Here is a 16,264-nt window from a genome sequence, read left to right on the forward strand (position 1 = left end):
GTTTTAGGTGTTTGGATCACTTTTGAGGATACATAAATGGCATTAGAAGTTTTCAGTCTAATTATAAGTCTGAAAACAGGGGCAGAAAAGAAGAGACACAAACAAAAGAGGAAGACAAAAAGTGGAGTGAGAGACATTGTGACATCCAGATGATGGAGGGGAATGAGGCATTTGTGCATTATTACCTTGGAAGTTCTCTAAAGATGGAATATATTCTGTGTCATCGTGTAAGCCAAAAATGAAATCTTAAGGGTTTGAACCCATTGAACCTTTTTTTTTTTGAGATAGAGTCTTGCTCTGTCACCCAGGCTGGAGTGCAGTGGCACAATCTCGGCTCGCTGCAAGCTCCGCCTCCCGGGTTCAAGGGATTCTCCTGCCTCAGCCTCCCCAGTAGCTGGGACTACTGGCACATGCCACCACGCTCAGCTAATTTTTGTATTTTTGGTAGAGATGGGGTTTCACCATGTTGGTCAGGCTGGTCTTGGACTCTTGACCTCATGATCCGCCCGCCTCGGCCTCCCAAAGTGCTGGGATTACAGGTCTGAGTCACCACGCCTGGCCTGAACTGACCCTCTCTTAACCAAGGAGACTCCAGAGAAAAACTAGATTCCTGGCTGGGATGGTGAATATTGAGTGTCAACTTGATTGGATTGAAGAATGCAAAGTATTCATTGAGGCTGTGTCTGTGAGGTTCTTGCCAAAGGATATTCACACTGGAGCCAGTGGACTGAGAGAGGCAGACCCACCTTCTCTCTGGGTGGGCACCATCCCATCAGCTGCCAGCTGGGCTAGGATAGAAGCAGGCAGAGGTTGGTGGGAGGACTAGACTGGCTGAGTCTTCCGGCCTCCATCTTTCTCCCACGCTGGATGCTTCCTGCCTTTGACCATAGACTCCATCACGCTCCATCAGTTTTTAGACTATTGGATGTGCACCACTGGTTTGCCAGGGACTCTTGTCACCCAGGCTGGAGTGCAGTGGCACGATCTCGGCTCACTGCAAGCTCCGCCTCCCAGGTTCAAGTGATTCTCCTGCCTCAGCCTCCTGAGTACCTGGGACTACAGGCACCCGCCACCAAGCACGGCTAATTTTTTGTATTTTTAGTAGAGACGGGGTTTCAGCGTGTTAGCCAGGATGGTCTCGAAGTCTGCCCTGTTGGCCTCCCTGCTTTTGATGTTTTGGGATGTGGACGGGATTCACCACTGGCTTTCTGGCTTCTCAACTTGCAGATGGCCTGTTGTGGGATTTTCACCTTGTGATGGGGTGAGTCAATTCTCCTAATAAAATCCCCTTTATTTTATTTTGAGACGGAGTCTCACTCTGTTGCCAGGCTTGAGTGCAGTGGTGCAATCTCGGCTCACTGCAAGCTCTGCCTCTTGGGTTCAAGCGATTCTCCTGCCTCAGCCTCTGGAGTACCTGGGATTACAGGCGCCTGCCACCACGCCCAGCTAATTTTTTGTATTTTTAGTAGAGATGGGGTTTCACCATGTTGGTCAGGCTGGTCTCGAACTCCTGACCTTGTGATCCACCCGCCTCAGCCTCCCAAAGTGCAGGGATTACAGGCATGTGCCACCGCGCCCACCTAATTTTTTTGTATTTATAGTAGAGACGGGGTTTCTCCATGTTGGTCAGGTTGGTCTCGAACTCCTGACTTCAGGTGATCCACCTGTCTCAGCCTCCCAAAGTGCAGGGATGACAGGCGTGAGCCATTGCACCTGGCCAATAAACTCGCTTTTATATATTAATCAATCCTATTAGTTCTGTCCCTCTAGCCAACCCTGATTAATATGCTGGCCATGATGAAAATGGAGATCAGATAGCACTTGTTATACCTGGCACCCTTGGAGTTTAGGCCCAGCTGACCATTAATGTTGAAAAAAGGTAAATAAAGGTTAAAAAAGGGGGTCATAAGACACAAGAACATACTCTTGGCAGCAATAAGATACCAAATTCCTGCCTGACTCTGGTGTACCCTTATGTGACACAGAGCAGGACCTGGAGGAAATCTAAATATTTTACCCTAAAATGTATTTTTTTGGCCGGGTGCAGTGGCTCACGGCTGTAATCCCAGCACTTTGGGAGGCTGAGGTGGGTGGGTCACAGGGTCAGGAGTTTGAGACCAGCCTGACCAACATGGTGAAACTCCGTGTCTACTAAAAATACAAAAATTAGCCAGGTGTGGTGGCAGGCACCTGTCATGCCAGGTGGGTTTTACTCAGTCACCATTAATAAGACAAACCAACACAGGGAGGGGTCCATTGTGAAGCTGTAACTCAATTTTATAAACAAAATAATAAAAATAATACAAAAACATGAGACATTTGCTGCTGGAGAGAGGAAGAGAGAAAGAAAGGGGCAGACAGAAGACACACAAAATAAAAAACTTTGGAGGTTGGGTATGGTGGCTCCCGCTTGTCATCCCAACACTTTGGGAGACCGAGGCGGGAGGATCACTTGATTCCAGGAGTTTGACACCAGCCTGGGCAACACAGGGAGACTCCATCTCTACAATATATATATATATATATATATATATATATATATATATATATATTTTATTTTTTGACACTGAGTCTCGCTCTGTCGCCCAGGCTGGAGTGCAATGGCACAATCTCGGCTCACTGCAAGCTCCGCCTCCCGGGTTCACGCCTTTCTCCTGCCTCAGCCTCCCGAGTAGCTGGGACTACAGGTGCCCGCCACCACGCCCGGCTAATTTTTTTGTATTTTTAGTAGAGACGGGGTTTCACTGTGTTAGCCAGGATGGTCTCCATCTCCTGACCTCGTGATCCACCCACCTCGGCCTCCCAAAGTGCTGGGATTACAGGCGTGAGCCACGACACCCGGCCACAAAATATTTTTTAAAATGAGCAGGGCATGGTGGTGAGTGTCTATGGTTCCAGCTATAAGGAAAGTTGAGGTGGGAGGATCTCTTGAGCCCAGGAGTTTGAGACCAGCCTAGACAACATAGCAAGACCCCATCGCTATAAAAAAAATTACCCAGGCATGGTGGCATGCACTTGTAGTCCCAGCTACTCAGGCAGTTAAGGCGGGAGGATTGCTTTAGCCCAGGAGTTCCAGACAAGCCTGGGAAACATCACAAGACCTCATGTCTATAAAAAAATTTTAAAAATTATCCAGGCATGGTAGCACAAACCTGTAGTCCCAGCTACTCAGGCAGTTAAGGCAGGAGGATTGCTTTAGCCCAGGAGTTCCAGACAAGCCTGGGAAACATCACAAGACCTAATGTCTATAAAAAAATTTTAAAAATTATCCAGGCATGGTAGCACAAACCTGTAGTTCCAGCTGCTCAGGCAGTTAAGGCAGAAAAAATGCTTGAGCCTTGGAGTGTGAGAGCAGCCTGGAAAACATAGCAAGATCCCATGTCTATAATTTTTTTTTTTTTTTTTTTTTTTTGAGACGGAGTACCGCTCTGTCACTCAGGCTGGATTGCAGTGGCGCGATCTTGGCTCACTGCAAGCTCCACCTCCCGGGTTCACGCCATTCTCCTGCCTCAGCCTCCTGAGTAGCTGGGACTACAGGCGCCCACCACCATGCCTGGCTAATTTTTTTTTTTTTGTATAAAAATTTTTTAAAAAACATCCGGGCATGGTGGCATGCACCTGTAGTTCCAGCTTCTTACTCAGTTGAGGCAGAAGGATGACTTAAGCCCAGGAGTTGGAGGCTGCAGTGAGGCAGCCAGGATCATTTCCCTGCAGTCCAGCCTGGGTGACAGAGCAAGACCCTGAGAAAGAAGAAGGAAAGAAAAAAAGAAAGAAAGAAGGAAAAAAGAAAGAAAGAAAGAAAGAAAGAAAGAAAGAAAGAAAGAAAGAAAGAAAGAAAGAAAGAAAGAAAGAAAGAGAAAGAAAGAAAGAAAAGAGAAAGAAAGAAAAGGAAGGAAGGAGAGAAAGAAGAGAAAGAAAAGAAACAAAGAAGAAAGGAGAAAAGAAAAAAGGAATTATGGAAAAGAAAGCAGGGGGAGACGTTGGGAAGACAGCCAGAAAAGGCCCTGTCCTTTCCCCGGGCCCTGGCTGACCGTGTAATGGCAAATTGATATAGGGCTGCAGCCCTGTCCTTCATGGAAAGTGACTGAGAGATCTGTCAGGACCCGTGTGCGCATTTTGATCTGCAGAAAGATTGAATTAGGCAGGGGATTAGAGTGAGGAACATTGCGATGCTTGCCGTTGTGAAAACAAATGTCAGGTAGGCGTTCATTAGGCGGGCTGGGAGCAAGCCAGCTCTGTAGAAAGCACATTTATAGCCCACGAGGACACAGCATTTGACCTTGTCCCGTTGGAAGAAGCGGGGAGGGGGGTGGCGGATCCCAGGAGTTGATTTGTACGGCAGTGGCAATGAGTGGGTTGGGGGCTATTTGTTGAACGTCTCTGTGGGCTGTGGGCTTCTGTCTGCAGGGTTCTTTTGTTCCTGGTGTGTGTGCCATCTCATGCGTGCATAAGAACATACATGAATGCACACACACACGTACACACAGTGTGGTTACACATGCGTGCCTGGGAGGTGGCATATTCAGGTTTTGTCTTTGCTAGATTGTTACTCCAGCCATGCACAAGCTTTCACATGTGTGCAGTCATGCAAACATGCACACACATGCACACACACACATGCACACACAGTGTGGATACACATGCATGCCTGGGAGAAGGCATACGCAGATTTCTTCTTTGCTAGCTTCTTGCTGTGGCCATGCACAAACTCTCACATGTGTGCACTCATACAAACATGCACATACATGCATGCACACACAGTGTGCATACACATGCATGCCTGGGAGGAGGCATATGCAGATTTATTCTTTGCTAGCTTCTTGCAGTGGCCATGCACAAACTCTCACGTGTGTGTGCACTCATGCACACATGCACACTCACACACATATGCACACATGTGCATGCAAAGTGTGATTACACATGCAGTCTTAGGAAGAGGCATATACAGATTTCTTGTCTGCTAGATTCTTGCTCCAGGCATGCACAAGCTCTCACAAGTGTGCAGTCATGCAAACATACACACACACACATGCACACACAGTGTGCATACACATGCATGCCTGAGAGGAGGCATATGCAGATTTTTCTTTGCTAGATTCTTGCTGTGGCCATGCACAAGCTCTCACGTGTGTGTGCACTCATGCACACATGCGCACACACACACATCCACACACGTGCATGCACGCACAGTGTGGTTACATATGTGTGCCTGGGAGGTGGCATATGCAGATTTTGTCTTTGCTAGATTGTTACTCCAGCCATGCACAAGCTTTCACATGTGTGCAGTCATGCAAACATGCATATACATGCATGCACACACATGCACACACAGTGTGGATACACATGCGTGCCTGGGAGAAGGCATATGCAGATTTATTCTTTGCTAGCTTCTTGCTGTGGCCATGCAGAAGCACTCATGTCTATGTGCACACATGTACACGCACACACATCCACACATGTGCACGCACACACAGTGTGGTTAAACTTTTATGCCTGGGAGTTGGCACAGGCTAATTTTCTCTTTGCTAGATTCTTGCTCTGGCCACGCACAAGCTCTCACGTGTCTGTGCAGTCATGCAAACACACACACACGCAGTGCACAAGCTCTCACATGTGTGTGCAGCCATGCAAACACACACACACACATGCAGTGTCTATATGCACGACTGGCTGGGAAGAAATCCAGGTGAAATGCCTCTTTGCTTTGTGGTTCCCCTAAGCTCCATCTTGACCAGACACCTGACCTCAGTCAAATCCAGGAAAACAGTAAATCGGGTCAATTCTCAAGGGGGATCTTGTTTTTATCCAACTGACAACTACCAGATATGTATTTACTTGTTTGCAAGCGTGTTTTAATTAATTTATTTATTTATTTTTGAGACACAGTTTCATTCTATCTCTGCAGTGCCATGGCATGATCTCAGCTCACTGCAGTCTCTGCCTCCCAGGTTCAAGCAATTCTCCTGCCTCAGCCTCTGGAGTAGCTGAGATGACAAGCATGCACCACCACGCCCAGCTAATTTTTGTATTTTTGGTAGAGACTGGGCTGGTCTTGATCTCCTGACCTCAGGTGATCCACCTGCCTCGGCCTCCCAAAGTGCTGGGATTACAGGCATGAGCCACTGTGCCCGATCTATTTTGAAATTTTTATAGATTTTAGGGGTTTAAGTGCAATTTTGTTGCATGTGTAGATTGCAGAATGGTGAACTCAGAGATTTTAGTGTATCCATCACCCAAATAGTGTATATTGTACCCATTAAATAACTTCTCATCCGTCTGCTTCAGCCTCCCGAGTAGCAGGGATTACAAGTGTGTGCCAGCAAGCCCGTCTACTTTTTGTATTTTTTTTTTAAGAAGAAACAGGGTTTCACCATGTTGGCCAGGCTGGTCTCGGTCTCGAACGCCTGACCTCAGGTGATCTGCCCGCCTCGGCCTCCCAAAGTGCTGGGACGACAGGCATGAGCCCGCGTGCCCTGCTGCAGGTGTCTTTTTGATAGAATGACTTCTTTTCCTTTGGATAGATAACCAGGAGTGGAATTGTTCCATGGAAGGGTCGTTCTGTTTTCGGTTCTTTGAGAAATTTCCAGGTGTGTAAAACAAAAACCTCTGCCATTGCTTCCAGCCTGAGGTTTGGAATGTTTGGGGTGGGCAGCGGGAGAAAAATGGTGGAGAGGCCTCACATTGGCCCCAGCCAGCCTGAGGATATCCTACTGCACCTGCCAGGGGCCCTGTGGGACCTCCCTGCTGCTAACAAGCATGCCTCATTTACCATGCAAATGTTCCTTGGGGAGTCAGGCCTATCCATCACTCACCCTTCTTCCAGGACCTACCCCTCCCTTCCCTCCCCTCCCCCCACAATGGTCTCCAGTCACAGGAGGTCTTAACACACATCAGCTGTGCTGGGCTGGCAGTGCGGATGTCAGTTTGGTGGGGCCCAAAGTGAAGTGTATCTTAAGGGTTTTCTTTAAGGAAAACAACAACAACAAGAAAACGTGAAATCTCTCACAAGATCCATTCTGGTACATTGGACATTGCTGCTCTGTGGGGTCCTGAACTGGTTCATGGAGGAGGGAGGAAAGAAGGAAGGAAGGAAGGAAGGAAGGAAGGAAGGAAGGAAGAAAGGAGAGAGGGAAAAGATAAAAGGGAGGGAGGGAGGAAGAGAGGAAGAAAGGGAGGAAAAGAAGGAAGGAGGACAGGAGGAGGGACAAGTAAGAAAGGAAAGAAAGGAGGAAAAGAAGAAAGAAGAAAGGAGGGAGAGAAGGACAGAAAGAGGGCGAGAGAGAAAGAAAGAAAAAAACACTATCTATCCTATGAATGTATGATGTATTAATCATCTCCCTGTCATCTACTTGTCATACATCTACCTATCTCATTTATCTATCATCAATCATCTACATATCTGTCTTATCTATCTATTCATCTTATCTATGTATCTATTACCATCATGTATCTATATATCTATCTACCTAAGTATGTATCTGTTACCATCATCTATTTATCTATCTATCTACCTATCTATTACCATCATCTATCTATCTATCTATCTATCTTCTATCTACCTTCTATCTACCTATGTATGTATCTATTACCATCATCTATCTATCATCTATCTATCTATCTATCTATCTATCTATCTATCTATCTATTACCATCATCTGTCTATCTATCTATCTATCTTCTATCTATCTTCTATCTACCTTCTATCTACCTATGTATGTATCTATTACCATCATCTATCTATCATCTATCTATCTATCTATCTATCTATCTATCTATCTATGTATCTATTACCATCATCTATCTATCTATCTATCTATCTATCTATCTATCTATCTATCTTCTATCTATCTTCTATCTACCTTCTATCTACCTATGTATGTATCTATTACCATCATCTATCTATCATCTATCTATCTATCTATCTATCTATCTATCTATCTAAGTATCTATTACCATCATCTATCTATTTGTCTATCTATCTATCTACCTACCTATCATCTTCTATCTACCTAAGTATGTATCTATTACCATCATCTGTCTATCATCTATCTATCTATCTATCATCTATCTATCTATCTATCTATCATCTATCTACCTAAGTATCTATTACCATCACCTATCTTCTATCTATCTATGTATCTCTCTATCTTCTATCTATCTATCTATCTATCTATCTATCTATCTATCTATCTATCAAGTATCACCATCATCTATGTATCTCTCATCTATTTTATCTATACATCTATCTATCATCTATCATCCATCTATATGTCTCTTTTGTATTATGGCACAATACACATAACATAAGATTTACCTTTTAACAACTTTAAAATGCAAAGTTCAGTGCCACGAAGTCCATTCCCAATGTTGGGCCACCATCACCACTGTCTCATTTCAAAACATTGTCATCAGATTGCACTGAATGGAGACACCAGGTGATGCCTGCTTAGTCAGAGAGCAGACGTTTGCTCAGCAAGGGGCTGGGGCCAGGAGAATGGCGGACAGAGCATGGCCGAGAAGGCTGTCTTCAGCCTCCAGCCCCAGCCCGTCTCTGCCATCTGCATCCCTGAACTATTGGAAGAGGGGTTGACTGATGGTTGGTTGCCTGTCATCTCTCCTCTTTGATCACAGCCCTGCTTCTTGTTCAATCTCCCCCTCTCCCCCACCCCCTGCCAACCATCCAGCCACTGCTCTCTCTCTCTCTCTCTCTCTGATCCCCACAGTGGATGGAAGACCCCACCCCGCATTTCCAAACACACAGAATATAGTCTCACTCTTCAAAGCAACCACGAATCTCTATGACTATTTCAAAATCGTCAGGAGAGGGAATCTGGGTGAGGTTGACTCAGGGATCTGGGATCACAGGGCGGGGGTCAGACGAAGCCGGCTTCTGTAGCTGAGGAGGGACGGAGAGCTGACAGAGGCCCTGGGGGCCACACAGCGTGAAGTTTCCATTGCAGGAGTGATGACCGCACCAAGAACCTTTCACAGCACGGGTCAACCCAAGGCCATCTCAGAGACGCTTGAATATGCAGCGAGGTTGAGAGCTGTTTCAGGGCAATGTTCAGATGCAAATCTTCTGCTTCGTTCATAAAATAGAATGAACTAAGATTTTTTTATTTTTTTCTTTTTGAGATGGAGTCTTGCTCTGTCGCCCAGGCTGGAGTGCAATGGCACGATCTCGACTCACTGCAACTTCCACTTCCCCGGTTCAAGTGATTCTCCTGCCTCAGCCTCCCAAATAGCTGGGATTACAGGCGCCCGCCACCACACCCAGCTAATTTTTGTAGTTTTAGTAGAGACGGGGTTTCATCGTGTTGGTCAGGCTGGTCTCGAACTCCTGACCTCGTGATCCGCCCACCTCGGCCTCCCAAAGTGCTGGGATTACAGGCGTGAGCCACTGTGCCCAGATGGCTTTGCTATTCCTATCTGTGCCTGAATAAGCCGCCTCTTTGAGGTCTTCAATGAATGGTTGTTGAATGAAGGAGTGAGTACGTGGCTTGTTCGGCACATTTCAGCCAAGGATGTTCCACGAAGTGTCAACCATTCTTTCAACAATCCATTCATGATCGAGTGAATAAGATGAAATGACATCATGGAATCCATAAGATGAAAAAGCTCAAGAGGAAATAATGAAAGCACAATCATTGTCAGGAAAACAAGGGCATTGGCCGGGCGCGGTGGCTCACGCCTGTCATCCCAGCACTTTGGGAGGCCGAGGCGGGTGGATCACCTGACCTCAGGAGTTTGAGACCAGCCTGACCAACATGATGAAACCCCATCTCTACTAAAAATACAGAAATTGGCCGGGCATGGCAAGATCATGCCCCTGCACTCCAGCCTGGGTGGCAGAGTGAGACTCCATCTGAAAAAAAAAAAAAGGAAAGAAAGAAAGAGGAAAGAAAAAGAAAGAAAGAAGTAAGAAAGAGAAAAAAGAAAGAGAAAGAAAGAAAGAGGAAAGAAGAAAGAAAGAAAGAAAGAAAGAAAGAAAGAAGAAGGAAAGAAAGAAAGAAAGAAAGAAAGAAAGAAAGAAGAAAGAAAGAAAGAAGGAAAGAAAGAAAGAGAAGAAAGAAAGAAAAAAGAAAGAGAGAGGGAGGGAGGGAGGAAAGAAGGAAGGAAAGAAAGAAAAAGAAAGAAAGAAACAAAGAAAGAAGGAAAGAAGGAAAGGAGAGAGGGAAGTGGAAGGGAGGCAAGGGGGAGGGAGGGAGTGAAGGAGGGAGGGAAGGAAAGAAGGAAGGAAGGAAGGACAAAAGAAAGAGAGAGAGAAAGAAAAGAAGAAAGAAAGAAGAAAAGAAAGAAGAAAGAAAGGAAAGAAGAAAGAAAAGAAAGAGAAAAAGAAAGAAAGAAGGAAGGGAGAGAGGAAGGAAGGAAGGAAGAAAGGCCATTAAGATTCCCTAAGCTATGGAGAACATTGATCTATTATGGGTTTCTCATGCTGGTGACGGGGAGAAAGTGGCAGATGATTGGTGGACGGATGGATACCTGATTTCTCAGAGTCTTGTTATCTTCTGAGTGCCAGGCTATCATTTTATAGAGGAAGCTAATAGAAACGGTCTGGCAATGGGCCTGGGGTCATCCGCTGGTGAGTAGCCGAGCCTGGTTCTGACGATGCACGTACCTGGCCCACAGGTGGAGGCTGTTAGGGGATGTCATAGGTAAGCAACAGGCCTTGAGCAGTGCTACCTGGCACTCCACAGCGTGCTAACCACCCCAAATTTTGCAGAAATCCTATAACATAGAAACGTTAAGAAACCTCAGAGGCAACAGGACTTTCATCCAGAAAGGGCAGGTGCATGGTGAGTCCCCCTGTCTCATCAGCTGGGTAAGAACTGGGTGATATTTCTATTTCTACACACAGGCTGACTTAGAGGCTTGAAGGTCCATAGCTAAGATCAGGGTGGGTATGGCAGGTGCATGTTCTCCATGTGATTCCATCTCCTGACTGTGCTTTTTGGTACCTGGAAAGATCGTCTGTCTCTGAAACGACGGTGTGTGTGCTGCGTTGAAGGTGAACACAGCCCACGGTCATCTCTGCTCTTTTGGAAAAGTCACCACACATGTCCACAGATCCTTCCCGGCCAACTCTTTGGCAACTCCAGCAGCTGGGAGTCCATTTTCCTAATTTCTGCTTCTCACCGTAGTTCATAAATCAGAATGCAGATGAGAGACTCATGGTTAATTTTCCGCAGCGAGCCCAGAACGTCGGAGCCCATAAACTGCAGGAAGTCTCGGGCTGTGAATTTCTTGATGCTGACAAGTCAAACAGCTTAGAAATCATAATTATAAGTTACAAGTGGCTTAGGGGTTGTTCTCCGGACATAAAACTAATTTCATGTTTTTATTCATACTGTGTGAGAGAAAAGAGGGGAACGGGCTGGCGTTGGAGGGTGCTCCTGCAGATATCACAAGCTCCCTCTCTCAGCCTTAATGAGATCAGACGGCTTGCTTCCTTCTTTGTTACTGTCTGACTTGCCTTGAGGGGCTTTTGACGACTGTGTGGATGCTGCCCCTGCTTTTTTTCCGAGAGCGTACCTGTGAGGACGTGGCCAACCCAGGGGGTCTTCACCAATAGGACACCGCATTTGCCCCCAGCACTGTGGCCTCAACATATATCTCTGTAAGAGTCCCCTGGGCCTACCATAAAAAAAGGACCCCAAACTGGGGGACTTGAAGCAGCAGAAATAAGATTCTCTGCTTGTTGAGGAGGCCAGAAGGCTGGAAGGAAGGGGTCCCTGGGGTTGATTGCTTCTGGAAACTATGATGGCATATTCATTTCATGCCTTTCTCTTTTTTTTTTTTTTTTTGGGGAGGGGGGACAGAGTCTCTCTCTGTCGCCCTGGCTGGAGTGCAGTGGCACGATCTCGGCTCACTGCAAGCTCTGTCTCCTGGGTTCACGCCATTCTCCTGCCTCAGCCTCTCGAGTAGCTGGGACTACAGGCACCTGCTACCGTGCCCAGCTAACTTTTTGTATTTTTAGTAGAGACAGGGTTTCACCATGCTAGCCAGGATGGTCTCGATCTCCCGACCTCGTGATCCGCCCGCCTGGGCCTCCCAAAGTGCTGGGATGACAGGCGTGAGCCACTGCACCTGGCCTCATGCCTTTCTCTTATGTTCTGGTGATCCCAGCCATCTTTGGTTTGCAGACGCGTCTTTCCAATCTCTGCCGTCACCTTCATGGTCTTGATAGCTGTGTGTGTTTTTACGAACTCTCTCGTCTTGTTTATGAGAAGTCTAGTCATTAAATTGAAGGTTCACCCTAACCCAGTATGACCTCCTAGTCATTTACATCTTAACCCACTTATTCCCAAGGTTGCAAGTTTTTTGAATTTTTGCAATCAGAGCTTGGTGATGACCTTCAGCCATAGGATATCAATAACTTCCACAAGCCTAGTGTTCCATTATTGGAACACTAGGCATAAATGAGTGTTTACATCTGCAAAGATCCTATTCCCAAGTAAAGTCCCCTTCACAGATACCGCGGTTAGAAATTGAGCATATTGGCTGGGCCCGGTGGCTTGCCCCTGTCATCCCAGCACTTTGTGAGGCCGAGGCAGGCAGATCACGAGGTCAGGAGATCGAGACCATCCTGGCTAACACGGTGAAACCCCATCTCTACCAAAAATACAAAAAGTTAGCTGGGCATGGTGGCGGGCGCCTGTAGTCTCAGCTACTCGGGAGGCTGAGGCAGGAGAATCACTTGAACCCGGGAGGTGGAGGTTGCAGTGAGCCGAGATCTCGCCCCTGCATTCCAGCCTGGGTGACAGAGTGAGAGTCTGTCTCAAAAAAAAAAAAAAAAATCTACGTTGTAATTTGTGTGATACACTATATCAAGCCGTTTTCCAATCTCTAGGAAAAAAACAACAGCACACACAGATATACATTTATCCCTTTTGGAAGAAGTAGCGTCTGCAGCTCTTTGAAAGACCAGAGAATTTTTACATTGTGAAGCTATTTAGGTACCTACTACGTGCGGTGCTCTGCCATATGAAACATCAAACAGAAAATGACAAAGCAACCAAGAAAAGGCTTAACTTTCGGCTGAGAGGACGGACGGTTGCCGTCACTGATTCGGCTTTTGTGTCTATAGCTGAACAGCCGAGGTGGTGTCACCACACTCTAGAGAGAAACCTGTCTAACCAGCAAGAGAAAGCAACTAGCTTGGTGTGCTGCAGAGACTTTAAGACTGGGGAGAAAGTTCAAGCAACATTCTGTAGCTTGCAAAACCAATCCAAGAAAATGAAATGAAAAACAAAAAACAAAAACAAACAAAAAAAGGTAACCTATTGTCTTCTTGGATCTCCAGCCCTATAGTGGGAATGTGTTTCTCCAAAAATCATCTGTTTATCCGAAAAGGAAAAAAAAATAAAACGATAAAACAACAGCAAACCTCAATACAGAATCTCGTTCTTCTAAGACACAGACTTCACTGTGCTGATATCGCTTTTAAAGGAGGAAATTCAGAATATATCCACGTCTGCCTTTCCTTTAAAGACTGTTCATTGCAGAGGAACGTGGCCCTGCCAGTTTGACCTGCCTAGCAGGACTCCAATCAGAAAAGATAAGAGCATGTTTAATTGATTAGTCAGAGTCTGTCCAGCGCTTTGAAGGTGAGGACTGAGATATTATTGTAATGATGAAGAGGGAGCTGTGATCTTTGGAGAATTTCTTCTCTCATGTAAGCCTCTTTCTCAATTTGATCTATGCTGCTCAAGTCTACTGCTGGGGTGTACAAATTACTGATCCCGATCAGTAGGAAGCACCTTACATATTCAGGCGTGGGTTGCTGAACCTCGAGGCATGAAACCAAAGACGGGCTACTGAGAGACGGGAGCTGTCTCCAGCTATCCTTCTGGGAAGACAGTCTCAAGATGGCACCCGCCATGCTGGAGGTTGCCCAGGCATCATTCTTTTCTCTGAGATGTGTTGGCTGATTTCTCTTCACGGAACACATGCCACCTCCCCAGGGCAGCTCTTGAGGGAAATTCTTCCTGACACCTGTTGGAGCTTGAGCTATCTCCATGGTTTCTCTGAACCTTGACTGTTGCCATCAAACAGGTGTTAAATTATGGCATATTGTCATTGCTTTATCCTCAGATTCCGCAACAGATCATAGGTCCTCTAAGGGGGATGACTATATGCTGTTTAATGCATAGATTTGTTTTTTCAGAGCAGTTTTGGTTTCAGAGAAAGGGAGGGCAGAAAATAAAGAATTCCCCTATATCCCCTTCATTTTTCTCCCAGCAGTTTCTGCTATTATTAACATCTTGAATTCAGGGAGGACATGCGTTGCAATTGATAAACCCATATTGATTATTATTCACTAAAGGTGATAGTTGACACTGAGGTCACTCTTGGCATTGTACGTAGTTTACACTGAGGTCAGTCTTGGCGTTCTACATCCTATGGGTTTGGACATACACAGAAGCTTCACGGCCCTAAAAATCATCTGAGAGCCACTTATTTACCTACACCAACTGTATAGTTTTCTTCTCTGCATCACCAGTAGCACTGTGCCATAATCAATCATGAATCAATCAATCAGTCCTTGATCAATCAGCTTAACATGCTGCTCAGTGTCTGGGGCTCCTCCAGAGCCAGGGTCACCTTAGTCCTGCTCTGTGGCTGCAGGCTGACTTATAGGGTAAGGGTGTGTGGGACTCCTGTGTCCCTGGATTTGGTCTATAGGAAGCCCCAGGAAGATGGCAGGAACAGAGATGCCACCTTCAGTCTGACAGTTGGCTTCTCAGGATGACTCCCTACAGGGATGGCAGGAGCTGGCCTCACCCGGCTCTTGAAGGCCATAGTCCTGACAGGTGGCCACATCTCCACCCCTAGACTGCTCTCTCTCCAGCTACTGGAAACCCACTCCTCACAGCATAGTCACAAGTCTCCCCCACACTCTGCTCCCACGGATAAGATACTCTAGCCACTGGCCGGGCGCGGTGGCTCAGGCCTGTAATCCCCACACTTTGGGAGGCCGAGGTGGGTGGATCACGAGGTCAGGAGATGGAGACCATCCTGGCTAACACGGTGAAACCCCGTCTCTACTAAAAATACAAAAAAAAATTAGGCGGGCGCGGTGGCGGGCGCCTGTAATCCCAGCTACTCCGGAAGCTGAGGCAGGAGAATGGCCTGAACCCGGGAGGTGGAGCTTGCAGTGAGTCAAGATCGCACCACTGCACTCCAGCCTGGGCGACAGAGCGAGACTCAGTCTCAAAAAAACAAAAACAAACAAACAAAAAGATACTCTAGACAAATTGACCTCCTTAGCAAGGGGACGAGGGACCATTTCTGCTCATCCCTGAGTAGTGGTTTCAGTTCCCTGCCAACCTATGGAATTGTCCAGAAAAGCCCATCACCTTCTTCTGCAGGAACCAGGAGCCACCTCACCCACTTGTTCCTACAAAGCCTGCCTTTCATGGCTTCTGATGGTTCATTGTACTAGAATGCAACTTCACATGCATGCTGTAAAGGGTCCTCTTCCCCCATCTGTGCATAGACGTGAGCAATCAATGTGGTTGTAGCTGTCATGCCTCCAGTGCTACATGCCATGGTCAGCCATCCCTAGCATCCTAGCACAAGAAACCCTTTCTTACCAAAGCAATGGATAGGAGGCTGTCCATCCATTGCTTCCCAAAACCACCTGCTCCTTGTAGTAAATTGTGAGGATAAACAGGGCAGTGTTCCATTTTGGACTGCCTCTATATATTTAAATTATCTTTGACTTGGGACCCACAAGATTATGGAAGAAGAACATGGGAAGCTTCCAGGAAACCTGGATGTATTAGTCAGGGTTCTCTAGAGAGACAGAACTGATAAGACGGATGGATGGATAGATAGATAGATAGATAGATGATAGACAGATGATGGTAATAGATACATAGGTAGATAGAAGACGATAGATAGATAGATAGATAGATAGATAGATAGATTCATAGATACATAGATACATAGATACATAGATAGATGATGGTAATAGATACATACTTAGGTAGATAGAAGATAGATAGATGATAGATAGATGATGGTAATAGATACATACTTAGGTAGATAGAGGGAGATAGATAGATAGATAGATAGATAGATAGATAGATAGATAGATACATAGATAGATAGATAGATAGATGATGGTAATAGACACATACTTAGGTAGATAGAATATCATAGATAGATAGATAATGGTAGTAGATACATACTTAGGTAGATAGAATATCATAGATAGATAGATAGATAATGGTAGTAGATACATACTTAGGTAGATAGA

General features: G+C 46.0%; 1 annotated feature.

The window, feature by feature from the left end:
• Positions 3,473-3,639: a silencer, noted in NCBI's record as "fragment chrX:727399-727565 (GRCh37/hg19 assembly coordinates)". NCBI's record gives its function as "represses an EF-1alpha promoter that drives an FKBP-Casp9 reporter gene in an ReSE screen in K562 erythroleukemia cells {active_cell/tissue: K562}" and the evidence as "EXISTENCE:reporter gene assay evidence [ECO:0000049][PMID:32094911]".

Source organism: Homo sapiens, chromosome X, assembly GCF_000001405.40.
Source record: "Homo sapiens chromosome X, GRCh38.p14 Primary Assembly".
In the NCBI taxonomy this organism is placed as follows: Eukaryota; Metazoa; Chordata; class Mammalia; order Primates; family Hominidae; genus Homo; species Homo sapiens.